Source organism: Homo sapiens, chromosome 16, assembly GCF_000001405.40.
Source record: "Homo sapiens chromosome 16, GRCh38.p14 Primary Assembly".
In the NCBI taxonomy this organism is placed as follows: domain Eukaryota; kingdom Metazoa; phylum Chordata; class Mammalia; order Primates; family Hominidae; genus Homo; species Homo sapiens.
In genome coordinates, this window is record NC_000016.10 from 87,765,998 (window position 1) to 87,793,054 (window position 27,057).

General features: G+C 49.7%; 2 long non-coding RNA genes across 2 annotated transcripts, besides 12 other annotated features; one reads left to right on the top strand and one right to left on the bottom strand.

Annotated features, from left to right (window-relative positions):
- Positions 25–84: an enhancer, noted in NCBI's record as "active region_11331". NCBI's record gives its function as "activates an Ori minimal core promoter by ATAC-STARR-seq in GM12878 lymphoblastoid cells {active_cell/tissue: GM12878}" and the evidence as "EXISTENCE:reporter gene assay evidence [ECO:0000049][PMID:35858748]".
- On the top strand, positions 44–9,668 carry LOC105371399 (uncharacterized). Its single transcript, XR_933871.3, has 3 exons — positions 44–344; positions 8,192–8,311; positions 8,848–9,668. It is a non-coding gene; the product is annotated as an uncharacterized LOC105371399 (long non-coding RNA).
- LOC102724467 (uncharacterized) lies at positions 334–13,151 on the bottom strand. The gene is made up of 4 exons (NR_120309.1): positions 12,811–13,151; positions 11,871–12,003; positions 7,394–7,592; positions 334–427 (listed from the first exon to the last, which is right to left on the bottom strand). It is a non-coding gene; the product is annotated as an uncharacterized LOC102724467 (long non-coding RNA).
- Positions 6,968–7,173: a silencer, noted in NCBI's record as "fragment chr16:87806571-87806776 (GRCh37/hg19 assembly coordinates)". NCBI's record gives its function as "represses an EF-1alpha promoter that drives an FKBP-Casp9 reporter gene in an ReSE screen in K562 erythroleukemia cells {active_cell/tissue: K562}" and the evidence as "EXISTENCE:reporter gene assay evidence [ECO:0000049][PMID:32094911]".
- Positions 12,004–12,869: an enhancer, noted in NCBI's record as "NANOG-H3K27ac-H3K4me1 hESC enhancer chr16:87811607-87812472 (GRCh37/hg19 assembly coordinates)". NCBI's record gives its function as "activates a minimal SCP1, AML or CMV promoter by ChIP-STARR-seq in naive and primed H9 embryonic stem cells {active_cell/tissue: H9 hESC(naive and primed)}" and the evidence as "EXISTENCE:reporter gene assay evidence [ECO:0000049][PMID:30033119]".
- Positions 12,870–13,735: an enhancer, noted in NCBI's record as "NANOG-H3K27ac-H3K4me1 hESC enhancer chr16:87812473-87813338 (GRCh37/hg19 assembly coordinates)". NCBI's record gives its function as "activates a minimal SCP1, AML or CMV promoter by ChIP-STARR-seq in naive and primed H9 embryonic stem cells {active_cell/tissue: H9 hESC(naive and primed)}" and the evidence as "EXISTENCE:reporter gene assay evidence [ECO:0000049][PMID:30033119]".
- Positions 13,086–13,185: an enhancer, noted in NCBI's record as "active region_11332". NCBI's record gives its function as "activates an Ori minimal core promoter by ATAC-STARR-seq in GM12878 lymphoblastoid cells {active_cell/tissue: GM12878}" and the evidence as "EXISTENCE:reporter gene assay evidence [ECO:0000049][PMID:35858748]".
- Positions 13,516–13,605: an enhancer, noted in NCBI's record as "active region_11333". NCBI's record gives its function as "activates an Ori minimal core promoter by ATAC-STARR-seq in GM12878 lymphoblastoid cells {active_cell/tissue: GM12878}" and the evidence as "EXISTENCE:reporter gene assay evidence [ECO:0000049][PMID:35858748]".
- Positions 13,736–14,601: an enhancer, noted in NCBI's record as "H3K27ac-H3K4me1 hESC enhancer chr16:87813339-87814204 (GRCh37/hg19 assembly coordinates)". NCBI's record gives its function as "activates a minimal SCP1, AML or CMV promoter by ChIP-STARR-seq in primed H9 embryonic stem cells {active_cell/tissue: H9 hESC(primed)}" and the evidence as "EXISTENCE:reporter gene assay evidence [ECO:0000049][PMID:30033119]".
- Positions 14,627–14,686: an enhancer, noted in NCBI's record as "active region_11334". NCBI's record gives its function as "activates an Ori minimal core promoter by ATAC-STARR-seq in GM12878 lymphoblastoid cells {active_cell/tissue: GM12878}" and the evidence as "EXISTENCE:reporter gene assay evidence [ECO:0000049][PMID:35858748]".
- Positions 14,757–14,856: an enhancer, noted in NCBI's record as "active region_11335". NCBI's record gives its function as "activates an Ori minimal core promoter by ATAC-STARR-seq in GM12878 lymphoblastoid cells {active_cell/tissue: GM12878}" and the evidence as "EXISTENCE:reporter gene assay evidence [ECO:0000049][PMID:35858748]".
- Positions 23,634–24,135: an enhancer, noted in NCBI's record as "H3K4me1 hESC enhancer chr16:87823237-87823738 (GRCh37/hg19 assembly coordinates)". NCBI's record gives its function as "activates a minimal SCP1, AML or CMV promoter by ChIP-STARR-seq in naive H9 embryonic stem cells {active_cell/tissue: H9 hESC(naive)}" and the evidence as "EXISTENCE:reporter gene assay evidence [ECO:0000049][PMID:30033119]".
- Positions 23,634–25,152: a biological region, named in NCBI's record as "BRD4-independent group 4 enhancer GRCh37_chr16:87823556-87824755".
- Positions 23,953–25,152: an enhancer, noted in NCBI's record as "BRD4-independent group 4 enhancer chr16:87823556-87824755 (GRCh37/hg19 assembly coordinates)". NCBI's record gives its function as "activates an origin of replication core promoter dependent on BRD2, P300/CBP, MED14 and CDK7 cofactors, and independent of BRD4, by STARR-seq in HCT116 cells {active_cell/tissue: HCT116}" and the evidence as "EXISTENCE:reporter gene assay evidence [ECO:0000049][PMID:35650434]".

Sequence of the window (27,057 nt, forward strand, 5' to 3'; positions counted from 1 at the left end):
CACTTCCGGCCCCGAGTTCGAGCCGCTTCCGGGTAGAGGTGCGGCTGGGCCCTTTACGAGGTTCGGTCTTGGAGCTCCGTCTTCGGCAGCGGGCTCGGGGGCCTCGGACTCTGCATAAGGCCCCGGAAAAGATGACCGGCCCCGGGCTGGGCGCGGTGGCTCATGCCTGTAACCCTGGAGCTTTGGGAGGCCTTGGCGGGCGGATCGCTTGAGTCCAGGAGTTCGAGATCAGCCTGGGCAACAAAGCGAGACACCACCCCCCACCCCCAGTCGCTACAGAAGAAAAAAAAAAAAATTAACCGGGCGTGGTGTCTCGCGCCCAGTGGTCCTAGCTCCTCGGGAAGGTGAGGCGGGAAGATCGCTTGAGTCAAGGAGTTCCAGGCAGCAATGCGCCCCTGCACCCCAACCTGGGCGACAGAGCGAGATCCTGTTTCAAAAAACAAAAAAGATGGCAGCCCCGGCCTGACATACCCCGGCCATGCTCGCCAATTCTCACGCCCTGTGCCCCCACCTAGCCTGTCCCCGTGTCCTAGGAGACGTGCCCTCTGAGTTTTATTTTTTATTTCTATTTTTTTGAGGCAGGGTCTTGCTCTGTCGCCCAGGCTGGAGTGCGGTAGCGCGATCTCGGCTCGCTGTAACCTCCGCCTCTGGAGTAGCTGGGACCACAGGAGCCCACCACGCCCGGCTCATTTTCTCTTGAGTTTTCCGGGGTGCACGTGCCCCCCGTTAAGGCACATTGCTTCGCCCTGGGTAGAACTAAGTGGGCGACTCTTGGGCTAGCCCCATTTTTTCCCCTCAGACCAAACAAATGAGTGCTTTTTTCCCAGAAAAAAAATTTCACACAGTTATAAGATTTTGCAGATCCTGAGTAAGACAGTCCCTGCCGGGCGCGGTGGCTCACGCCTGTAATCCCAGCACTTTGGGAGGCCGAGGTGAGTGGATCACGAGGTCAGGAGTTCGAGACCAGCCTAGCCAACATGGTGAAACCCCCGTCTCTACTAAAACTACAAAAATTAGCCAGGCGTGGTGGTGGGCACCTGTAATCCCAGCTACTTGGGAGGCTGAGGCAGGAGAATTGCTTGAACCCAGGGGGCAGAGGTTGCAATGAGCTGAGATCAAGCCACTTCACTCCAGCTTGGGCAAAAGAGCAAAATTCCATCTTAAAAAAAAAAAAAAATGGGGGGGCCCTTCCACCTTCCCATTTAAAATGTGCCAGACACTGTTAGGTACTAAGGGCATGTCCTCAAATGTCCTAACATGGAGGACTTTTGTTTCTTCATAGGTAGGCTAGAGCTAATGATAGCACCCTGAAAGGGTACTCAATTTGTGGAGCCTGAGAAATAAAGATAGGTAATATCCAAATGCCTGCTAGGAAATTGTACTCTAGGATTTGCCTCAAATTACGTAAGAAATGGCAAAATCATCTGCAGTGCATGGAATGTTATGATTTGAAAGAGCAGAGTAAAAATGCTTATCACTACTTAGAAGATGTCATCTTTGGATGGGTAATCAAGGAATAAGGCAAATTAAGGACAAGGACAAGCCAAAATTTGGCAAAGGGAAAGCATAAATCAGGAAATAATCTAGTTTATTACTTTGTGTGTGAGTCAGCCTTTAAAAGTTCTCTTAGGCCAGGCGTGGTGGTTCATTCCTGTAATCCCAGCACTTTGGGAGGCTGAAGCGGGCTGATCACGAGGTCAGGAGTTCAAGACCAGCCTGGCCAATATGGTGAAACCCTGTCTCCACTAAAAATACAAAAAAAAAAAAAAAAATTAGCCAGGTGTGGTGGCACCCACCTGTAGTCCCAACTATTCAGGAGGCTGAGGCAAAAGAATCATTTGAACCTAGGCGGCAGAGGTTGCAGTGAGCGGAGATTGCACCACTGCACTCCAGCCTGGGCGACAAAGCAAGACTCCATCTCAAAAAAAAAAAAAAAAAAAGATGTTATCTTAGATCCAGCCAGGTGTGATGGCTCACGCCTGTAATCCTAGCACTTTGAGAGGCAGAGGCAGGCAGATCACCTGAGGTCAGGAGTTTGAGACCAGCCTGATCAACATGGTGAAACCCCATCTCCACTAAAAATACAAAATTAGACAGGCATGGTGGTGCGCACCTGTAATCCCAGCTACTCGGGAGGCTGAGTCAGGAGAATGGCTTGAGCCTGGGAGACAGAGGTTGCAGTGAGCCGAGACTGAACCACTGCACTCCAGCCTGGGCAACAGAGCTAGACTCCGTCTCAAAAAAAAAAAAAAAAAGAAGAAGTTAACTCGGCCAGGCGTAGTGGCTCACATCTGTAATCCCAGCACTTTGGGAGGCCAAGGTGGGCAGATCACGAGGTCAGGAGTTCAAAACCAGCCTGGCCAACATGGTGAAACCCCGTCTCTACAAAAATACAAAAAAATTAGCCAGGTGTGGTGGTGTGCACCTTTAATCCCAGCTACTCAGGAGGCTGAGGTAGGAGAATTGCTTGAACCGGGAGGAAAGGTTGCGGTGAGCCCAGATCACGCCATTGCACTCCAGCCTGGGCAGCAAAAGCGAAACTCTGTCTCAAAAACAAAAAAAGTTACCTTAGATCCAATCAATGACTAGTCACTGAGCAGCTGAGGAGGAATGATTTTCCAACCCACTCCAAGCCTTATCCATAAACCTAGCTCTTTAAGAAGAAAAATGAAATTTGGGGAAATAATGAGAAGAAAAGATAGCACTGGTTGAAGACCACCATGGTCTCCAGCACTGCTTGTAGGAAACCTATGTGGTGGTAGAAAAAAAAAACCGGTTAGGAGCTGAGCAGAAAGGAGCTGGAGAATTTCACAGAAACCCAGCCTGGGCATCCAGGCATGTTTATCTTCCATGACGAACTACAAAAGGCTAAATCCTCACTATTGCCCTCGGGAAATAGTTCTGTCCCCTCTAGTGTACTATGACTTTAAGAACATACGTAATCCTTTAATATTTTTCTAAAAATCCTGGGTAAACCTGAGGCAATGCACTTGAAGCCAAAAGGCTCTTCATTCACAGCACATCTGGCTGCAGTACATTACAGTGGTGCCCACTTCAGGCCGGAGACAGGGAGAGCGTATGACCTATTGAAGATTTAGGAGGATCTGGTGGATGCGGGGTTTAATACTTTTATTATCTGAAAGAAGCTTGAAGCTAAATTAGAAGGCTCTTGGATTATAGGTGTCATGGTGATTTACGTGAGACTGAAATTCTCATACTGAGAAAGACGGAATAGAACATCTAAAATGAGATCAGATCCTAAAATAGTCAAAAGATTAAGTACAAGGCTCTATTTTAGTAAAATTCACATTGTTGAAACTTTCATGGATTATCTTTAATCTGTCGCTGACTTTTAGAGTGTATCTTTTGTGTGATCAGGCGCCCTCTGCTGCCTTCAAGTTGAAGTGCAGAAGAGAAAAAAAATCTATTAATAATAGATTAAATTTTAGGAAAATATGCTAACTTCTAATTATCCTCACCACAAGTAATCAATGTGATTGGAAGGTTCTGCCAAGTGTGGTATGGATTACGTGGCTCTTTGCACGTTTCCCAGCAGGAAAGTGGGAATAATGAACTAGTTCACCTATTACACAGGATTCTTGGGAAAATCAAGTGAAACAATAATAAAGCTTAGGAAAGAGGCCAGGCGCGGTGGCTCACGCCTGTAATCCCAGCACTTTGGGAGGCTGAGGCGGGTGGATCACGAGGTCAGGAGATCAAGACCATCCTGGCTAACACGGTGAAACCCCGTCTCTACTAAAAATACAAAAAATTAGCCGGGCGCGGTGGCGGGCGCCTGTAGTCCCAGTACTCGGGAAGCTGAGGCAGGAGAATGGCGTGAACCCGGGAGGCGGAGCTTGCAGTGAGCCAAGATCGCACCATTGCACTCCAGCCTGGGCGACAGAGTGAGACTCCGTCTCAAAAAATAAAAATTAAAAATAAATAAAATAAAGCTTAGGGAAGTAAAAAAGCAAAACACAAAGGCTTTTTTTTTTTTTTTTTGAGACAGAGTCTCACTCTGTCACCCAGGCTGGAGTGCAGTGGCACTATCTCAGCTCACTGCAACCTCCGGCTCCCAAGTTCTTACCTCAGCCTCCCAGGTAGCTGGGATTACAGGCATCTGCCACCACACCCAGCTAATTTTTGTATGTTTTATAGAGACAAGGTTTCACCATGTAGGCCAAGCTGGTCTCAAACTCCTGACCTCACGTGATCCACCCGACTGGGCATCTTAAAGTGCTGGGATTACAGGCGTGAGCCACCATGCTGGCCTTACTGAATTTTTCCCACTTCTTTGAATCCATTCCAGAGAGAGGAATAATAAGATTTCCAACTATAATCAGGGATTTATCTATGTGTTGCTTATATACAATAAACTGTATATATTTCAAGTGTGCACAGGTGGCTGGGGTGAGGCAGGTGGCTGCTGAGGAGCAAGAGGGATCTACAGTTGTCCCCTGCCCTATGAGAAGGGCCACCCACTCAGGAGGGGCCTCAAGGGATGATGAGAAATGAGTATGGAATTTGTCAGCCTTGAAGTTCCAAATTGGAAACCTGGAAACATGTGTCCCGTCTTCTTCATCAAGATTGTCCAATTTTTTTTCTTTTTTTTTTTTTTTTTTTTTGAGACGGAGTCTCACTCTGTCTCCCAGGCTGGAGGGCAGTGGCGCTATCTCGGCTCACTGCAAGCTCCGCCTTCCGGGTTCACGCCATTCTCCTGCCTCAGCCTTCCAAGTAGTTGGGAAAACAGGCGCCCGCCACCATGCCCGGCTAATTTTTTTTTGTATTTTTAGTAGAGACGGGGTTTCACCATGTTAGCCAGGATGGTCTCGATCTCCTGACCTCGTGATCCGCCCGCCTCAGCCTCCCAAAGTGCTGGGATTACAGATATGAGCCACCGCGCCCGGCCGATTTTCCAGTGTCATAGCATAAAGCAATAAGTGATGTTCTTCTAATTAAAACAATAAATTAAAGTGTAGAATTTAATATGTATTAATACTATCAAGGTCTGGCCAGGCACAGTGGCTCACGCCTGTAATCTCAGCACTTTGGGAGGCCGAGGCAGGCAGATCACAAGATCGGGAGATCGAGACCATCCTCGCTAACACAGTGAAACCCCGTCTCTACTAAAAATAGAAAAATTAGCCAGGCGTGGCGGCATGTGCCTGTAGTCCCAGCTGCTGGAGAGGCTGAGGCAGGAGAATGGCGTGAACCCGGGAGGCAGAGCTTGCAGTGAGCTGAGATCGCGCCACTGCACCCCAGCCTGGGCGACAGAGTGAGATTCCATCTCAAAAAAAAAAAAAATACTATCAAGGTCAAATAAAAATATAGAGATGGATCTCTAAACAAAACACCTTGTATGGGAATCATAGAATTATATTTTGAGGCATATCCACAGGCTGGGGTGAACTTCAATATGTCCAAAGAACAAAGAGAAGGTTGGGGGTTTTATTAAAAAGAGAAATGTGGCCAGGCGCGGTGGCTCATGCCTGTAATTCCAACACTTTGGGAGGTCAAGGTGGGTGGATCATTTGAGATCAGGAGTTCAAGACCAGCCTGGCCAACATGGTGAAACCCCATCTCTACTAAAAATACAAAAGTTAGCTGGACGTGGTGACATATGCCTGTAATCCCAGCTACTCGGGAGGCTGAGGCAGGAGAACTGCTTGAACCTGGGAGGCAGAGGTTGTAGTGAGCCAAGACTGTGCCACTGCACTCCAACCTGGGCAACAGAGTGAGACTCCGTCTCAAAAAAAAAAAAAAAAAAAAAAAAAAGAAATGTGGCTGGGCATGATGGCTCACACCTGTAATCCTAGCACCTTGGGAGGCCAAGGTGGGCAGATCATTTGAGGTCAGGAGTTCAAGACAAGCCTTGCCAATATGGTGAAACCCGTCTCTACTACAAACACAAAAATTAGCTGGGCGTGGTGGCACACACCTGTAATCCCAGCTACTCGGGAGGCTGAGGCAGGAGAATCACTTGAACCCGCGAGATGGAAGTTGCAGTGAGCTGAGATCGCACCGAGATCACCTGGGTGACAGAGCGAGACTCAGGCTCAAATAAATAAATAAATAAATAAATAAATAAATAAAATAAAAAGAAACTCTTGATTAGTTTCCATTTTTCTAGGGTTTTACAAAATGGAATCCTACAGCCAGGGACAGTGGCTCCCACCTGTAATCCCAGCACTTTGGAAGTCTGAAGTGAGTAGATCACCTGAGGTCAGGAGTTCAAGACCAGCCTGGCCAACATGGCAAAACCCCATCACTACTAAAAATATAAAAATTGGCCAGGCTGTGAGATCGTCTCCCATAGCATTGAGCTGATTTCTGTGGTTCCTTAGGTCATGGGGGTAGGGTGAGGCCTGCTTCAATCTTACCCTTTTGGGGCAGAACTCTTGAAATCTTGGCTTAATCTGGGGAGTTCTCTCTTAGATCCCACCTTGGACACCCTTGGATTTGATTATGTTTTTCTTGCCCTTGGAGGCTGTCAAAACCAAAGGTAAGTATGGCAAGATCGGCTCATGCGTGAAACTAAAAGCTGTCTCAGAGCCCAGTGGCCTGTTTTTGTTGCTACTTTCCATTAAGGTCTGACTTGGTAATTCCTTATTAGCTTTCGGATGCCTTTCTGATGTTATTTGTGTCTACCATATTCCTTAAAAGGCAGCATTGCTTCGTTTTTAAATGGTGGGTTTTTGGGAGGTTTTTCTGAGACGGAGTCTTGCTCTGTAGCCCCGGCTGGAGTGCCAGCAGCATGATCTTGGCTCACTGCAACCTCTGCCTCCTGGGTTCAAGCAATCCTCCTGCCTCAGCCTTCCAAGTAGCTGGGATTACAGATCTGCACCACCACGCTCAACTAATTTTTGTTTTTTTAGTAGAGACAGGGTTTCACCATGTTGGCCAGACTGGTCTTGAATTCCTGACCTCAAGTGATCTGTCTGCCTCGGCCTCCCAAAGCACTGGGATTACAGGCGTGAAGCATCACACCCAGGTAAATGAAGTCTGTTATTGTTGTTGTTATTGTTGTTTTGAGATGAAGTCTCACCCTATCACCAGGCTGGAGTGCAGTGGTGTGATCTCGGCTCACTGCAACCTCCACCTCCCTGGTTCAAGCAATTCTCATGCCTCAGCCTCCTGAGTAGCTGGGACTACAGGCGCCCACCACCACGCCTGGCTATTTTTTTGTATTTTCAGTAAAGACAAGGTTTTACCATGTTGGCCAGGCTGGTCTCGAACTCCTGACCTCAAGTGATCCGCCCGCCCACCTTGGCCTCCCAAAGTGCTGGGATTACAGATGTAAATGATGTTTTTTAGTGTGTAATTAATATATACTCATTTTCAAAATTTGGAAAATGCAGATGAGTATAATGAAGGAAACCTCACAGTCACTTACAGCCTTCTCTGCTGCATGCCAGCACTCTCGGCACTTGGGGGGTATTTCCTGCTGACGGATCTTGAGCAAAGGTCCGTGCTGTGGCGTCACTCATCTTAGTGTCGTGCACAGGGCCTCCTTCCTTCTTGCTGTATCCGTGTCTTCTTTATCACTGATCTCAGAAGAAGCACGTGAAGATTAAGAACATTCTGTAAGATACCTGATGCAAAGATAGGGAAGAAGAAACTACCAAAACTTAGAAAATAGCACAGAAAATGGAACAGAAGATAGAAGCTATGCTGGAAATGCTAACTGCAAACTAGAAAACAGCATTATTTATTTATTTTTTTTTATTTATTTATTTTTGAGACGGAGTCTCGCACTGTCGCCCAGGCTGGAGTGCAGTGGCACAGTCTCGGCTCACTGCAACTTCCATCTCCCAGGTTCAGGCAATTCTCCCACCTCAGCCTCCCGAGTAGCTGGGATTACAGGCGCACACCACCACACCCGGCTAATTTTTTTGTATTTTTTGTAGAGACGGGGTTTCACTATGTTGGCCAGACTGGTCTCGAACTCCCGACCTCATAATCCACCCGCCTCGGCCTCCCGAAGTGCTGGGATTACAGGTGTGAGCCACCGCGCCCGGCTAGAAACAGCTTTTCACATCATGTCAACAACTGCGAGCCAGGGATTGGCTCTGAGGAAGCCATGGACCTTGTGTGCTCCCCATGTGAGACTGCAGGTTTGCGTCTGTCTCCCAGTGGGCGTGTTCCCCGACCCTACCCAGACATAACCAAAACCTTGCTTTCCTGCATGCAGTCATCAGAGATGCCAGACCAGAGGAAATACAGCAATCAAAGCAGGCAAACCTGTTGCTAAATGTGTTTTTGAGAGTAAAACTCCTTGGCCAAATACTTCAAGACGCTGATGATTCTCAAAGTAAGTAGATTTTTAAAATCCTATACTGTCAATGTTTTGAGCATCTGGCTTCTTAACCCAGGAACGAGCTGTTTTCCAGCCTGATAATCCCATAGTCAACAGTGTATGCTTAGCCAGGCCGGTGGCTCACGCCTGTAATCTCAGCACTTTGGGAGGCTGAGGCGGGCGGATCACGAGGTCAGGAGTTCGAGACCAGTCTGGCTAACATAGTGAAACCCCCTCTCTGCTAAAAATACACAAAAAATTAGCCGGGCGTGGTGGTGTGCGCCTGTAATCCCAGCTACTCGGGAGGCTGAGGCAGGAGAATCGCATGAACCCAGGAGGCAGAGCTTGCAGTGAGCCGAGATCACGCCACTGCACTCCAGCCTGGGCGACAGAACGAGACTCCGTCTCAAAAAAAAAAGAAGAAAAAAAATGTATGCTTAGGGTTCACAGTGGTAACCCCTGAAATTCTGGCTGTCTAGCCATGGAACTAGTTCGCACTGAAACCCCCTAATTCTAAAAAAGGTCTTTTTTTTCTCATTGTTCCTACACAGACTGTCATCATGAACCATCTGGAGAAGGCCAGATGTTTACATTTCACGGAAATGTGGTCCTGAAACCTTCATTCTGAGCGCAGAGCTAACCACCTCCTCCTATTCTTGGCAACACTAGTAAATGATACATTACCACAGAGCAGGTGAAATGCAGCAGAGACATCTACGCTAGAACCTGAGGGTTGCTATGTTGTAAGAAGCATGCCCAGGTTTATACTAGGACGCTCGGCTGGAGCATTGGTTCACCGCTGTCCACTATTTTAAAGACATGCCAGAAATAACAATCCTATTATCTGATTTCCAAGTAAGTCAGGATGTTCCTACTAACAGCCCTTCCTTTTATGGTAGTGAGAATAGTCTAGAAACTTAGTGTTTTATGATAATTCATGTGCCGTGGCTCTCTTCCAGGAGATTTTAATCTCCCTCTGGCCTTGTCTTATTCACCTTTATGTCCCAGGACAAAAATGTTGGACTGTTTGTTATATGTTAATAAGTGGGCTGGGCGCGGTGGCTCACGCCTGTAATCCCAGCACTTTGGGAGGCCGAGGTGGGCAGATCACAAGGTCAGGAGTTCAAGACCAGCCTGCCCAATATGGTGAAACCCCATCTGTACTAAAAATACAAAAACATTAGCCAGGTGTAGTGGCACATGCCTGTAATCCCAGCTACTCGGGAGGTTGAGGCAGGAGAATTGCTTGAATCCGGGAGATGGAGGTTACAGTGAGCCAAGATTGCGACACTGCACTCCAGCCTGGGCAACAGAGCAAGACTTCGTCTTAAAAAATAAAATAAAATAAAATAAATGATTGATAAACAGTGAATGAAGGCTGGGCGCAGTGGCTCACACCTGGAATCCCAACACTTTGGGAAGCCAAGGCAGGCAGATCACCTGAAGTCAGGAGTTCAAATCCAGCCTGGCCAACATGGCGAAACCCCGTCTTTACTAAAAAATACTAACAATTAGGCTGGGCACGGTGGCTCACGCCTGTAATCCTAGCACTTTAGGAGGCCAAGGTGGGCGGATTGCCTGAGCTCAGGCGTTCAAGACCAGCCTGGGCAACACAGTGAAACCCCGTCTCTACTAAAATACAAAAAATTAACCAGGCATGGCGGTGTGTGCCTGTAATCCCAGCTACTCAGGAGGCTGAGACAGGATAATTGCTTGAACGTGGGAGGCGGAGGTTGCAGTGAGCCAAGATCACACCACTGTGTCACAAACGTCCGTGTGAAGAGAGTCCACCAAACAGGCTTTGTGTGAGCAACAAGGCTGTTGATTTCACCTGGGTGCAGGCGGGCTGAGTCCAAAAAAGGAGTCAGCAAAGGGTGGTGGGATTATCATTAATTCTTACCCTTTTGGGATAGGCGTACAAAGTACATTCTCAAGGGCTCGGAGAATATTACAAAGTACATTCACAAGGTTAGGGGGAGAATATTACAAAGTACCTTCTTAAGCGGGGGGAGAGGCCGGGCACGGTGGCACACGCCTGTAATCCCAGCACTTTGGGAGGCCGAGGTGGGTGGATCACAAGGTCAGGAGATCGAGACCATCCTGGCTAAGACGGTGAAACCCCATCTCTACCAAAAGTACAAAAAATTAGCCGGGCGTGGTGGCGGGCGCCTGTAGTCCCAGCTACTTGGGAGGCTGAGGCAGGAGAATGGCGTGAACCCAGGAGGCGGAGGTTGCAGTGAGCCAAGATTGCGCCACTGCACTCTAGCCTGGGTGACAGAGCCAGACTCCGTCTCAAAAAAAAAAGAATTTGCTGTCAGAGCGAGTCACAATGGCTCACACCTGTAATCTCAGCACTTTGGGAGGCCAAGGTGGGCGGATCACCAGAGGTCAGGAGTTCGAGATCAGCCTGGTCAACATGGTGAAACCCCGTCTCTACTAAAAATACAAAACTTAGCCGGGCATGGTGGCAGGTGCCTGTAATCCTAGCTACTTGGGAGGCTGAGGCAGGAGAATTGTTTAAACCCGGGAGGCAGAGGTTGCAGTGAGCCAAGATCACTTCATTGCAGTCTAGCCTGGGCAACAAGAGCAAAACCCTGTCTCAAAAAAAAAAAAAAAAAAAAAAAAGAATTTGCTGTTGGCTCTCACTCTGATTCATATCTCATATCTGCCTATGTTTCTTTCTTTTTCTTTTTTTGCTGTAGCCTGGGGTGGAGCAGAGGGGACTGCTGTAGCTGGGGACCTGGAAACATGGTCAACACTGAAAGTAAAAACACAAACTTGGTTTTTCCAGGGAGCTGCTGGAAACTGACCCAAGGCAAAAGCAAGGTGCAGGTGGAATTACTGAGAGGTTGTGGAGGCCTCCTGCTCCCCTCTCTGCTGCCAGACACTCTGTGTGGGGCCCCCCAAAACGTGCCTGGCACCCCAGTCCCTCAAGTGTTCCCTGGATATGGGGAAATTGTTGACTAACGACTTTATAAGTCATGGACATTTCTTGGCTGGGTGCAGTGGCTCATGCCTGTAATCCCAGCACTTTGGGAGGCGGAGGCGGGCGGATCACGAGGTCAGGAGCTCGAGACCATCCTGGCTAACACGGTGAAACCACGTCTCTACCACAAAATACAAAAACATTAGCTGGGCGTGGTGGCAGGCGCCTGTAGTCCCAGCTACTCCGGAGGCTGAGGCAGGAGAATGGCGTGAACCTGGGAGGCGGAGCTTGCAGTGAGCCGAGATCGCGCCACTGCACTCCAGCCTGGGCGACAGAGCGGACTCCGTCTCAAAAAAAAAAAAAAAAAAAAAGTCATGGACATTTATCCGCAAACGTCTGCTATCAGGGATATGTAAACTCTAACAGCCATGAGAAGCCATTGGACGGGTGTTGCTGTGGCCAAAATCCAGAGCATGGACAGCACCACACGCCGGCCAGGAGGTGGCGCATCTTTTCATGTCAGTCATGATTTATCCAAAAACAGCACCTCCCGTGATGCCAGTGCTGCGCAGAGGTTGGGATACAGCGGGTGGGTGCCTAGAAGCCAACTCCCGCCTTCCAGGAAGTATGGTTAGGGGACATACTCACCCGGACACCGACGTGAACCTGCAGCCTCCCCCGGGGAGCACGCATGGGTCCCAGTTGCCTTACAGTCTGATCACGGATGCTGTTGCCTAGGCAACGTGAGGGTGGCCCTGGCTCCTTGATCTTCCTGGTGGCTCTGGGGGACCATGACGGAGATGCGGATAATTCAGGTCAGGGCAGCAGCCGGCCGGCAGGGGGCGACAAGCACACTGCTCATGAACGGTTGGCTCTGCCCACGTGCACACGGCGTTTCCACATTAACATTCATTTAATAATAATAAAAGAATAAGCAACGAGAGAGAAAGCCAGAGATCTACATGACTAGACTTGCTGCATTTCTAAATTACCAGGTACGACGTGAGCCGAGCATCTGCCCCCTTGCCCTGACCAGGTCCCCATTTCTGACTCTCCACTCCCAGCCCTGGACAGGAGGAGTCAAGGGTCAGAAATGGTCCGGGTCTGCCAATACATTCCTTGGTAATAGTATGTTAAAAGTAGCAAGTGGCAATCTGTTCTCTCTCTTTCTTTCTTTCTCTTTCTTTCTTTCTTTCTTTCTTTCTTTCTCTTTCTTTCTTTCTTTCTTTCTTTCTTTCTTTCTTTCTTTCTTTCTTTCTTTCTCTCTCTCTCTCTCTCTCTTTCTTTCTTTCTTCTTCCTCTGTCTCTCTCTTTCTCTCTCCCTCTCGCTCTCCCTCTCGCTCTCTCTCTCTTTCGGAACAGGGTCTCGCTCTGTCTCCCCGGCTGGAGTGCTGTGGTGCCATCTCGGCTCAGTGCAGCCTCTGTCTCCTGGGCTCAAGCAATCCTCCCGCCTCAGCGTCCCAAGTACCTGGGACCACAGGCGTGTACCACTACGCCCGGCTAATTTTGTAATATTTTGTACAGAGATGGGGTCTCATTATGCTGCTCAGGCTGGTGACAAACTCCTGGGCTCAAGCGACCCACCCACCTCGGCCCCCCAAAGTGGTGGGATCACAGACGTGAGCCAGCGCTCCCTGTCAGCGTTTCATTCCCTCTTCATATCACATCACTTGGGTCTGTGGTCCAGGTGCGCTGGGGGCAGCGCAGGCCGGGTTCAGGAGAGCTCGGCTCAGCAGCAGCCGATGGAGCTTTCCTGGGGGCTCCTACCTGGCCGCCAGCTCCAGAAGCCAAGCCAGGGGCTCTTCGAGACATGGTCCCACCAGAGGAGAGACCGAGCCTCGGAGAAATGAACGTCCTAGGCCATGGGACTCGGACCCCTCACCCCACCCGCCACACCTGCCAACTTCCCGGCCTGCAGGGTGGCAGGAAGCCTGAGGCATTATTCAGCTTCCTTAGGGCCCGTTGGCTGATGCAACACAGCTCAGAAGTTGAGTCCAAGCACCAAGCCCGCAATGTCTGCGTCGGCCGCCAGGGGTCACTCCTCCCGCGCAGAAGGCGGCCTTGGAGCCTCGCAACCGCAGTATGCGAAGGTTGCATCACCCTCGCGGGGTCTAAGAGGAAGGATGGGGACCAGCCCGCAGGCGGGCCTGAGCCTCCTGGCAAAGCCCTTTGTCAACGTCAACAGAAGCATCTGGCGTCCTTTCTGGTCGCGGACGTCAGAGCTGGCTGCTCCGGCACTCAGCCGGGTGGTTGGTCCCCAGGCAGCCGCTGGGGCCCTGCCACCAGGTCTCACCTGGCCGAGAGGGAGTCAGGATGCCCTCTGAAGCAATGTCCCGAAATCCCAAATTCACCCCTACCCCCAGGTCAATAATGTACAAGAAGCTACATTCCTTTTTTTTTTTTTTTTTTTGAGAGGGAGTCTCACTCTTGTTGCCCAGGCTGGAATGCAATGCCACGACCTCGGCTCACCGCAACCTCTGCTTCCCAAGTTCAAGCAATTCTCCTGCCTCAGCCTCCCAAGTAGCTGGGATTACAGGCATGCGCCACCACACCCTGCTAATTTTGTATTTTTAGTACAGACAGGGTTTCTTTTTTCTTTTTTTTTTTTTTTTTGGAGACGCAGTTTCACTCTTGTTGCCCAGGCTGGAGTGCAATGGCATGATCTTGGCTCACCACAACCTCTGCCTCCTGGGTTCGAGTGATTCTCCTGCCTCAGCCTCCCGAGTAGCTGGGACTACAGGCATGCACCACCATATCTGGCTGATTTTTTTGTATTTTTAGTAGAGATGGGGTTTCTCCACGTTGGTCAGGCTAGCCTCAAACTCCCGACCTCAGGTGATCCACCCGCCTCGGCCTCCCAAAGTGTTGGGATTACAGGCGTGAGCCACCGTGCCCGGCCTGAGACAGGGTTTCTCCATGTTGGCCAGGCTGGTCTCAAACTCCAGACCTCAGGTGATCCGCCTGCCTTGGCCTCCCAAAGCATTGGGATTACAGGCATGAACCACCACGCCTGGCCGTTGAAGCTACATTCTTGTTCCAAAGTTTTAAGCAGGGACTTTGGTGCAGACATAGCAATCTTTTGGGAGGATTAATGGAGGGAAGAAATAGTACCTGGTATTCCCACTGCTCTCACCCACAGCCCCGGGATCCACCTCCTCTTTACCGCCCGGGCCACAGAGAGCACACGTGGGCTCCTTTCCATTTGCTGGTCCGACCCAGCAGTGGTCACCGCTGGAGCCCTGAGACCCCACCAAGGTGTTCTGCCCAGCTCTCCTCATCCACAGAGGACAGAGGGGGTCAGGGGAAATAATATGAATCTGACGCTGGGGACATTTGCAACCCGCAGAGTCACCGCCACCTGGTGTCTCTTCAGTGTCTATGGAGACCAGTAAATGACTGTTTGCTCCACTGTTCTGAAAACAAATGAGTGCAGAAACAATCTTCTTTTGCTTCCTGCCTGGTGAGAGACATGATTGCCAAGAGCTCAGGCCAGGAGCCGAGGGTTTGCTTTTCATCCTAATCTTCAAGGTGGTCATCTTCAAAGGATGTGAGAGGGCAAGAGCTGAGCTCTGCTTCCTGCAAAGAGAACCACACATGTCCCTCAGTGGAGCACCCAGTCTAGCTTTCCTGTGTCTGCCTTCCTCCCTCCACCCACGCCTTCCTCCCTCTGCCCACAAGTCCTTCACCCTCTCCCCACAGGCTCAGCCTTCGGGAGCTATTTCCTGTGGCTTTTTATTCACTTCCTTTTTTTTTTTTTTTTTTTTTGAGATGGAGTCTCACTCTGTCGCCCAGGCTGGAGTGCAGTGGCACGATCTTGGCTCACTGCAACTTCTGTCTCTCAGATTCAAGCGATTCTCCTGCCTCATCCTCCTGAGTAGCTGGGATTACAGGCCTGAACTACCATGCCTGGCTAATTTTTATATTTTTAGTAGAGACGGGGTTTCACCATGTTGGTCAGGCTAGTCTTGAACTCCTGACCTCAAGTGATCCACCCGCCTCAGCCCCCCAAACTGCTGAGATTACAGGTGTGAGCCACCGCGCCCAGCCTCATTTACTTGTTTTGATAATTTTTTTCTTTTGGGATAATCGTAGCTTTGCAGGACAGCTAAGATAGTTCCTGAAGTTCTCCAGTGATCATCTTCCATACAATGGTACATTGGTCAAAACTAAGCAACCAACATTGGTATATTGCCATTAACTAAACCCCAGACTTGCTTTGGATTTCCCTGGGTCTTTTCCTACTTACATCCTTTTCCTGTTCCCATCCAGGATCCTACGCAGGAGACAACATTGCATTTAGATGTGGTTCACTCTTCAATGCAGAGATTTTAGACCCTAACCCATCTCACCCTGTGTAGCTCCAGGTGTGTGGCCTCCTGCTGCTGGGAGGAAACGCACCGAGTCGTGGTGCTCAGTGGCACCCTAAATGCCCTGGGAGCCTGTGAACCCCAAAAATCTGAGACAGGTCTCAATCAATGAAGAAAGCTTATTTTGCCAGGTCAAAGACAGGCACTGTGACACAGCTGAGTCAGGAGAATAGATCCTGGAAGAAGGGAACCGAGAGACTGCCTAGGACTAAATCAAATGTAAGGGCTTGGTACAGTGGCTCACGCCTGTAATCCCAGAACTCTGGGAGGCCAGGCGGGCAGATCACCTGAGGTCAGGAGTTCAAGACCAGCCTGGACAACATGGTGAAACCCCGTCACTACTAAAAATACAAAAATTAGCTGGGTGTAGTGGTGGGTGCCTGTAATGCCAGCAACTCAGGAGGCTGAGGCAGGAGAATCACTTGAACCTGGGAGGCGGAGGTTGCAGTGAGCTGAGAACGTGCCACTGCACACCAGCCTGGATGACAGGGAGAGACTCCATCTCAAAAATAAATAAATAAATAAAATAGAAACACTTCAGCTATGACAGGAAATATCCTCTTTACTTACATAGGGCATCTGTGTAAATGAAGCGTAAATGATTTCATTGACAAATGAGTAAGTGACTTTGTAACTTTACTTCATCCTCTTCATTTACACAGGGCGTACACCAAGTAAATGACTTTGTAACTTCACTTTAGCCTCTTCATTCACAAAGGGCATACACCAAGCAACCAATGGAAACCTCTAGAGGGTATTTAAATCCCAGAAAATTCTGTAACCAGTTTCTTGAGCCCCTATGCTGGGGCCCACTCCTACCTTGTGGAATGTACTTTCTCGTTTTCTTTTTTTTTTTTTTTTTTGAGGTGGAGTCTCGCTCTGTCGCCCAGGCTGGAGTGCAATGGCGTGATCTCAGCTCACTGCAAGCTCCGCCTCCCAGGTTCACGCCATTCTCCTGCCTCAGCCTCCCGAGTAGCTGGGACTATAGGTGCCCGCCACAACGCCTGGCTAATTTTTTGTATTTTTTAGTAGAGACGAGGTTTTACCGTGTTGGCCAGGATGGTCTTGATCTCCTGACCTTGTGATCCGCCCACCTCGGCCTCCCAAAATCCTGGGATCACAGGTGTGAGCCACCGCGCCCGGCCTTGTACTTTCGTTTTCAATAACTCTCTGCTTTTGCTGCCTCACTCTTTTTGCTTTGTTTGTGCATTTTGTGCAATTATTTGTTGGACAACACCAAGATGCCAAGAACCTGGACACCGTCCACCGGTAACACAGCCTCAGGGGGTCCTGAGGACATGTACCCAAGGTGGCTGGGGCACGGTTTGGTTTTACACGTTTTAGGGAGACATGGAGACATCAATCAATATATGTAAGATGTACATTGGTTCCGTACAAAGAGGCAGGACAACTCAAGCAGGGAGGGGGGCTTCCAGGTGGCAGGTCGGGGAGAGACAAACCGTTGCATTCTTTTGAAATTTCTGATTAGCCTTTCCAAAGGACGCCATCAGATATGTATGTATCTCAGTGAGCAGAGGTGTGACTGAATAGAATGGGAGGCAGTTTTGCCTTAAGCAGCTCCCAGATTGACTTTTCCCTTTAGCTTAGTGATTTGAGGGCCACAAGATTTCCAAGATTTATTTTCCTTTCACAAGCTGAAGAAGTGGGAGCTGCCTTTGGTGCTCTCCCCATGGACCTGACTCTGGCCTTCCCCTCCCTTTACCCCCATGGGTCCCTTGTCTCTGCAGTTGATTTGCTCACGAGATTCTAAATATCAGCCGTTTACTACTTAGGATAAACCGCAGGTCTTGCTGCAGTATCGCCCGTTGCTGATATGTGCAGATGCCAAGTTCTCTGGATGGGAACCATCTAGAGCCTTGGTAGTCAAAGGCCGGGCGCAGTGGCTCACCCCTGTAATCCCAGCACTTTGGGAAGTCAAGGCAGGCGGATTACTTGAGGTCAGGAGTTTGAGACCAGCCTGGACAACATGGTGAAACCCTGTCTCTCCCAGAAATACAAAAATTTGCTGGGCATGGTGGTGCGTGCCTGTAATCCCAGCTACTCGGGAGGCTGAGGCCGGAGAATCACTTGAACCCAGGAAGGGAGGTTGCAGTGAGCCGAGATTACGCTACTGCACTCCAGCCTGGGCAACAGAGCGAGACTCCGTCACAGAAAAAAAAAGAGTCTTGGTAGTCATGGGGATTGAAGCCTCTTTGGGAGTCCCATCCCTTCGCTCCTTCTGTGCCTGTGACCCCTCACTGTGAAGTGCACACTCCCAGAGTGCCCAGGCCAGGCTGGTTCAGTGCCACCCACCCTCCAGCCTCTCCCAACCCCCCACAGCCAAAGCACCGGCACAGAGGTCACAGGAGACTCAGGCCACGTGGCATCCAGATGCCGACAAAGTGAGTTCTTTACCCAGAAAATGAAAGGGAGACCTTCCCGAGGCGCTTGCCCATCCAACTGTGCAAGGATGACGGGGTTCCACTCAAGCCAACCGAAAACATCCACAGATAAGAATACACAAAATAAAGCCAACCCACAACAAACTCCCAGGACTCAGAATCCAACACGCCTCCCATCGTCGTGTTGTGACCAAGCGAGTTACAGAGAAACGCCACACTTTGAGACAAATTAAAGAGTCTTTTATTAGCCAGCGACCAAGAGGCAGCTAATGCTCAAAATTCTCTCAGCCCTGAGGAAGGGACTAGTTTTGTTTTTATACCGTGGTCTAAACAGCGGAGGCAGGATTTTAGCTGAAGCAATTTTTACAGAAGCAGAACTGGCAAAAAGTTAAAAATTTAATTGGTTACATGGCCGGGCGCGGTGGCTTAAGCCTGTAATCCCAGCACTTTGGGAGGCCGAGGCGGGTGGATCATGAGGTCAGGAGATTGAGACCATCCTGGCTAACGTGATGAAACCCCGTCTCTACTAAAAATACAAAAAATTAGCCGGGCGTGGTGGCGGGCGCCTGTAGTCCCAGCTACTCGGGAGGCTGAGGCAGGAGAATGGCTTGAACCCGGGAGGCAGAGCTTGCAGTGAGCCAAGATCGCGCCACTGCACTCCAGCCTGGGCGACAGAGCGAGACTCCATCTCAAAAAAAAAAAATTAATTGGTTACAAAAAATAAACAGTTCCAGGTGCAGGGGCTTAAACTATCACAAAGAGATAAATGCAGGGGCTTCGGGTGCCATCCACCGAGCGCGTCCCGAGGAGCTGCTGGTGCAGCTTGCCTCTGTATCTTATCAGTAGGTGCATTTCTGGACGTGCTTTGAGTCAGTTTACACTAGTTATGCCTTAAGGGAGGGAGATGAAAGGGGACTGCAGGTGAAGAAACTAAAATGGAGTCTGTCCGGCTCTCTCTCTGCTAGGAGAGAGTAGGCTATCACCGCTGAGCCACAGGGGACGGCAAGTTGTCCATTTTTCCTGCTCAGGGGCCGCTGACCTCACAGCAGCCGGAATGTGGGTGGTGGCATTCCAAGGGCAATCCACATTTCACCGTGATTAGAAAACGAGGCCAACACGGCTCAGGCTCTGAGCATGGCTTCTCTGCACTGGTGACTGCAAGAATATCCCTCATGCCTTTGAAGGGCCATGGAGAAGTTGGCATAGCTCTCCTGGAGTTCCCGAATCTCTCGCCCAAAGTAACTTGGCCCTTCGAGGCAGAATTGGAGAAACAGAACATCCTCACACCCAAGTCCCATTTTCTCTGTGGTGACCTGCAAACCACACTGCACCTTCTGGCTGCGACACCCTCAGATTTCAGGCCAGAACCTTGGAAGAAGTAGGGCCACTCCCTGGTTTCTGATGGGGCCAGAGTGCTGGGTTGGGGACGTTGCCTCCAGAGCTGTCTCTGGGGGCCCTGACGCTGCCGTGTGCTGGGAGTGAAGGAGCTCCTACCTCACGGGCCAAACCCACTCCCGCTCTCTCCCAGGCTCCAGGGATAAAACTGGAGACCACTATGTCTTGCTTTCCGTGTTCTTTCTCCCTGCCATGGCTGGGTGCAGAAGCTGAAGCCGCCTTTGCAAAATTATGACTGCAGCAGTGAAAGAGATCTAATGTAACCGACATCATCTTACTTCTTTTTGGTGGGTGGGGGGGGATGGAGTTTCACTCTTGTTGCCCAGGCAGGAGTACAATGGCACAATCTCGGCTCACTACAACCTCCACCTCCCAGATTCAAGCGATTCTCCTGCCTCAGCCTCCCGAGTAGCTGGAATTACAGGCATGTGCCACCACGCCTGGCTAATTTTGTATTTTTAGTGGAGATGGGGTTTCTCCATGTTGGTCAGGCTGGTCTTGAACTCCCAACCTTAGGTGATCTGCCTGCCTCGGCCTCCCAAAGTGCTGGGATTACAGGCATGAGCCAGTGCGCCCGGCCTTAACCCCTATTTTAAATGTGCATAATTTCTACATTGTCAAATCACAGAGTCATTGCATATGATCACATCTCTCATTTTGTCCTAGTCCTTCAAACAGCTATGCACGTGTATCTCCCACTCCCAGCAGTCCTTCTCTTGATATCTTGTCACTTTGGTTGTCTGAAACCCAGCCTCTAGGAGGTTCCTTAAAAGGCATATAGGGACCAGGTACAGTGGCTCATGCCTGTAATCCCAGCACTTTGAGAGGCCAAGGTGGGTGGGTCACCTGAGGTCAGGAGTTCAAAACCAGCCTGGCCAACATGGCAAAAACCCCGTCTCTACTAAAAATAAAAAAGTTAGCCGGGCGCGGTGGCAGGCATCTGTAATCCCAGGTACTCTAAGGCTGAGGCATGAGAATTCCTTGAGTCCGGGAGACAGAGGTTGCAGTGAGCCGAGATCATGCCATTGCACTCCAGCCTGGGGGAGACAAAGTAGAACTCTGTCTCAAAAAAAAAAAAAAAAAAAGGAGGCTGGATACTGTGGCTCACACCTGTAATTGCAGCACTTTGGGAGGCCAAGGCGGGCAAATCACCTGAAGTCAGAAGTTCAAAACCAGCCTGGCCAGCACAGTGAAACTTTGTCTCTAGTAAAAATACAAAAATTAGCTAGGTGTGGTGGCGCACACCCCTAGTCCCAACTACTCAGGAGGCTGAGGCAGGAGAATCAATTGAACCCAGGAGGCCGAGGTTGCAGTGAGCCGACATTGAGCCACTGTATTCCAGCCTGGGCGACACAGTGTGACTCCATCTCAAAAAAAAAAAAAAAAAAATACAAAGGCTTATGGGAATAATGAGTTCTTGCACGTCGATGTTTTGTCTATGCCCTTTGTACTTGAAGATCGGTTTTGCTTGGTGCGTCTTGAAAGGAGGCCCTGAGCAGTGATTTCTGAGAGTTCACAGAGGATGTAGACCCCAGCCTCTTTAAACATAACCAGAGTCCCCTTGCACTCACCCACTAATGCAGAGAAAACCACTCTGTCAGTGATAATCCTATTACATGTGAATGTAAATAAATTATTTTTTTAATGAAAAGCAACTATGTTTCTAAAACCACAACATATTTAGTAAGAAGGATGGCTTGTTTTATGTTTTTGCAAATAGAAGACAATTGGATTTTTATTTTATGTATGTATTTATTTATTTAGAGACAGGGTCTCACTCTGTCACCCAGGCTGCAGTGCAGTGGCGTGATCATGGCTCACCACAGCCTTAACTTGCCTGGCTCAGGTAATTCTCCCACCTCAGCCTCCCAAGTGGCTGGGACTATAGGTGTGCACCACCACACCTGGCTAATTTTTGTATTTTTTTTGTAGAGATGGAGTTTCACCGTGTTGCCCAAGCTGGTCTCAAACTCCTGGGCTCAATAAATCTGCCTTCCTCGGCCTCCAGAAGATCTGGGATTATAAGCATGAGCCACTGAGCCTGGCCCAGATTTTGTTTTCTGTTTTGGGATAGAGTCTTATTCTGTCACCCAGGCTGCAGTGCAGTGGCACAATCTCAGCTCACTGCAACCTTCACCTCCTGGGTTCATGCAATTCTCCTGCCTCAGCCTCTGGAGTAGCAGGGATTACAGGCATGTGCCACCATGCCCAGCTAATTTTTGCATTTTTAGTAGAGACAGGGTTTCACCATGTTGGCCAGGCTGGTCTTGAACTCCTGACCTGAAGTGATCCACTCGCCTTGGCCTCTCAAAGTGCTGGGATGACAGGTGTGAGCAATCACGCCTGGCCTGTATTTTCAGTAGAGACAGGTTTTCACCATGTTGGCCAGGCTGGTCTCAAACTCCTGACTTCAGGTGACCCACCTGCCTTGGCATCCCAAAGTGCTGGGATGACAGGTGTGAGCCACCATGCCAGGCCAGTGGCCCAGAGTTTATATCTGGTTCTGCATTCTATCTCCTGGCTGCATCATGTCATATGGCCTCTGGAAAACTTCACTGAACACTCATGAAAGAATCCCTGGACTTTTTGTTTTGCTATGTTGTCATGCTCTCTGCTTTTTTGTGGGGATTTGGAATGTTCAAAAACTATGCTGCCACTGCCATCTTCCCAGATCTTCATAAGATTGCTGATAAGGGAAAGGGGTAAGAAATAGAAGGTAGGCCATGTGTGGTGGCTCACACCTGTAATCCCAACACTTCGGGAGGCCGAGGCAGGTGGATCAGTTGAGCACAGGAGTTTCAGACCAGCCTGGACAACATGGTGAAACCCTGTCTCTTCAAAAAATCCAAAAATTAGCTGGGCATGCTAGCACACACCTGTAGCCCCAGCTACTCTGAAGGCTGACATAGGAGGATCTCTTGAGCCAGGGAGATCAAGGCTGCAGTGAGTGGTAACCACTCCAGCCTGGGTGACAGAGTGAGATCCTGTCTCAAAAAAAAAATTAAAAAGAAAGAAATAGAAGGTGAAGCTGCAATGTTCTCTCTCAGCATGTCTATTTAACATTGTACCAGAAGGCTTAGCACAAAAGGCAGGAAAAAGAAATAAAAGGTTTAAGGTTTAGAAAATGTAGAAAATTTAAAGAATGTACGGATAATCTATTAGAATCCATAAGTAAATTTATCTAGGTTGCTGGATACAAGATCAACATACAAAAACTAGTTGTTTTTCTATATATCAGCAGCAAACAAAACAAAGCTAAAATCTTAAAAGTTACCATTTATAAAGTCACCATTTATAAAAAACATCAGATACTTAAGAATAAATCAAACAGGCCAGGTGCAGTGGCTCACACCTGCAATCCCAGCACTTTGGGAAGCCAAGGCAGGTGGATCACTTGAGGTTAGGAGTTTGAGACCAGCCTGCCCAACATGGTGAATCCCTGTCTTGACTAAAAATACAAAAATTAGCCGGGCATGTTAGCATGCACCTGTAATCCCAGATACTCGGGAGGCTGAGGCACCAGAATCGCTAGAGCCTGGGAGGTGGAGGTGTCAGTGAGCCAAGATCACGCCACTGCACTCCAGCATGGGTGACAGAATGAGACTTCAATTCAAACAAAACCAAAACCAAAACAAACAAACGAAGAATAAATCAAACAAAGAATTTGCAAGACCTCTACACTGAAAACTACAAAATATTGTTGAGAGAAATGTAAGGAGACCAAAAAATAATGGCAGGGCTCTTTTAGTAACTGAGACAAGACTAAATATTAGAAAGATGTCAGTTCTCCTCAAACTGACCTACAGATTCAACACCAATTTTTTTTTCTTTTCCTTTTTTTTTTTTTTTTTTTTTTTTTTGAGACAGGGTCTCACTCTGTTGCCCAGGCTGGAGTCCAGTGGCTTGATCTCACCTCACTGCAACCTCCGCCTCTCGGGTTCAAGCGATTCTCCTGCCTCAGCTTCCTGAGTAGCTGGGATTACAGGCGTGAGCCACCACACCTGGCTAATTTTGTATTTTTAGTAGAGACAGGGTTTCGCCATGTTGGTCAGGCTGGTCTTGAATTCCTGACCTCAGGTAATCCACCTGCCTTGGCCTCCCAAAGCACTGGGATTACAGAAATGAGCCCTGGAGCCTGGCTGCTTTGGGTGTTCTCGAGACTCTACACTCTCCTCCCGTACACCACAGCAAACAGCTCGGACCCCCTGACAGCTCCTGGCCTTCCCCAGCTGAGTGGAAGGCTTCTCCAGGGCTTACTTCAGTTCTTCGTGGATTTTGCCCAGTCGCCCGGAGGCTGCAGTTCCACCAGGCAAAGCCAAACATGCTTGTTTGTTCTATTAAGAAATGGCTGGTTAATCTTTGGACCTAAGTGCAATGTTGGACGTGGCTGACGTTCATTGCTTGAGGAGGTATGTGTTATTGAAATGACCCAGAAGGCTGCATTTGGCAGTTTCCCTTACTTCTGACCCAAGCCTCATGCAGGGCTGTGTGGGTGCTGCCTGCAGCCTTTTGCAAAAGATGGAAAAATGGCAGGAGGCACGAAAGACCACCAGGAAAGCCGAGCGAGCTCCTCAGGCTTGTTCCATCAGGTCTGGGAAGTCAGTAAGCCATGGGAATGAGATCCCAGCAATTCTTGGGTCCTTCCAGCTGTTTCATTCCTTGGGAATTAACACATAGGACCCTGAGGGTTCTAACGCACAAGGGCAGGGAAGGGGGCCAGGCCATGCCCGCGAGCTTGCCAGGTCATTGTCCTGGGTCACGGGGTGGAGGAACCTGCTCTGTGCACGCAAGGCACGAGCTGACTTGCAGGGCCGCTGAGTCACGGGAGAGTCAGGAGTCAGTCCAGTGTAGACTGCGTGCTAGAGTGGTTTAACAAGGATGCCAAGTGCATTGTTCAAAACATGGCTCCCCTGTCTGCCGTGAGTCGTCTTGAGGCGGGGCTCCTGTAATAACCTTCCCCCAAGGCCTCTCCTCTGCAGCACCCCGCTGGACACCTGAGGTCCTCTCCCTGTACAAAGAAAACCCAAACCCACTGCTTCTCTTTGGCCATTAGCTTTTGGCCTCTTCAAGCTGCTCTTTGGGGTCTTCACGGTCTCTGGTGGGATTCTCTCTGCGAATTAGGTTTGCATTAAGTTTTCTATCTTTATTACGCAGAGAAGACTGGCTTCACGGGCTTTCCCCCTACTTGGCTAGCAGACACATCTTTTCAGCCCTAGGCAAAAGAATCCCGTGCTCGAATTATCCAGAGATAATGTACGTTTGCTGTAATTAACAACCCACCAGAGCCCTGGGGCGCTCCCTACAGACATGGGTCTGGTGTGGCAAATGTGCAAGGGAACTGGCTCTGCCCGGCCCTCCCAGGCAGCTCTCCCATTTGTCTCAGTATCATCGCCTTCCCAGCTCCCTGGGGCTCCCCCTCCCAGAGAGGAGCAGCCCAGGCCTGACTGCCAAGACACAGGGCATCATTTACCCACTATGGTTAGAAAGCTTGCCCAAGCAATGGCACCAAGCCAATAAATATTATTCTCTGCTATCAACAGCCAAGGCCACACTCTGATTTGTTAGTGGTGGGTTAAATAAACAAGACTTCTGGCTGGGCGCGGTGGCTCATGCCTGTGATCCCAGCACTTTGGGAGTGGATCACAAGGCCAGGAGATCGAGACCATCCTGGCTAACACAGTGAAACCCCATCTCTACTAAAAAAAAATACAAAAAATTAGCCGCTCGTGGTGGCATGCCACTCTGTAGACCCAGCTACTCGGGAGGCTGAAGCAGGAGAATAGTTTGAACCCAAGAGGCGGAGGCTACGGTGAGCCAAGATCGCCCCACTGCACTCCAGCCTCGGCGACAGAGTGAGACACCAACTCAATAAATAAAAAATAAAATAAACAAGACTTCCAGACCACGGGTGGAGAAGATCCAGCCAGGGAGCTGGGCACAACTCCCCGTTTCACTGTGCGGTTTCATTTCAGTTGGAAAGAACTTCATCTGTTGAAGTGCACAGACAGCATTCAGAGGCTAGAGACGCCGGCATCGGCACAGCACACAGTGCCCTCTGTTCCCCTGGCCCAGGCCAAGAGCTCTTTGTGTGTCTGAGTGACTGGTCAGCACTGGGCAACAAACCCACGCCGGGAGACGGACAGCGAGCCGCCTCAACCCACCAGCCTCTGGGGAGCCTCTCATCTCGCAAGCACCTGCGGAGGCCCGCCCGGCGCCAGACCAGTCCAGGCACCCAGAGGCCTCTGCTCTCCTGGAGCTCATGACAAGTAAACAAATACACAAGATGGTTTGGGATCCCGATGAATAAGTTAAGCAGGGCAACCCAACAGGGAGGACAGGGCTCCCGCATGTGACGGACCCAGGAGGGAGCGACCCCCCGTGTTGACATGGGGGGAAAGGCGGGAAGTCAGAGAGGCCGGGAGGTCAGAGAGGCCAGGAGGTCAGAGAGGCCAGGCCCCTTCACACGGGGTGGGCGGGGGGGGGGGGGATTTGCTCCCTCTGGAGGCCAAAGAGGAGGGTCCTTTCCACCTCTTCCAGCTTCTGGGGGCGGCTGGCTTCCTGGGCTTGTGGCGTGTCTGTCACTCCAGTCTCTGCCTCTGCCTTCACGTGGCCTCAGTGCATGTCCTCACATGGCCTTCTTATAAAGATACCTGTCATCGCATTTAGGACCCACCCTAATCCAGCACGACCTCATCTTAACTAATGGCACATGCAAAGACCCTGATTCCAAATCCGGTTATGTTCTGGGGATCCGGTGAACACAAATTTCGGTGCTTTGCTCAGTTTCTATGGAGTCTTGTGTATAGGAAGGGACAGGAGAAGAACCAAATTCTCATCTGAGGCAGATTTTTATTCCTCATTGCAAAATTTAAACATGAAACCAATTAAAACCTTTTTGGGGAGGCCTCTGCTCAATCAGTCAACCAAGGACTATTTACCAAGCAGCTGGTCTTGGGCTCAGCTCTGCAGTCAGCACTGTGGTACCTGACACGGATTGGCAGCTTGCTCTCAGAACATTTCCAGGCTAACCAAGAGGACGAGCACAACGAGCTATTTTTCAAGGAATAGATCAGTTAAGATATAACCCACCTACCGTACGATTTGCCCATTTAGAGTGCGCAATTCAGTGGCCGTTAGTACAATGACAGAGTTATGCAGCTATTACCCCAATCAATATTAAAACATTCTCTTTTCTTTTTTTTTTTTTTTCAGATGGAGTCTCACTCTGTCGCCCAGGCTGGAGTACAGTGACACGATCTCAGCTCACTGCAACCTCTGCCTCCTGGGTTCAAGTGATTCTCCTGCCTCAGCCTCCTGAGTAGCTGGGATTACAGGTGCGTGCCATCACGCCCGGCTAATTTTTGTATTTTTAGTAGAGACAGGGTTTCACCATGTTGGGCAGGCTGGTCTCAAACTCCAGACTTCGGGTGATCCGCCTGCCTAGGCCTCCCAATGCTGGGATTACGGGCGTGAGCCACCACGCCCGGCCAAACGTTTTCTTTTTACTTTTTTTTTTTTTTTTTTTTAGGACAGGGTCTGGCTTTTTTTTTTTGAGATGCAGCCACAAGGCCAGGCTGGAGTGCAGCGGTGCAATCTTGGCTCACTGAAACCTCTGCCTCCCGGGCTCAGGTGATCCTCCCACCTCAGCCTCCTGAGTAGCTCAGGCCACAG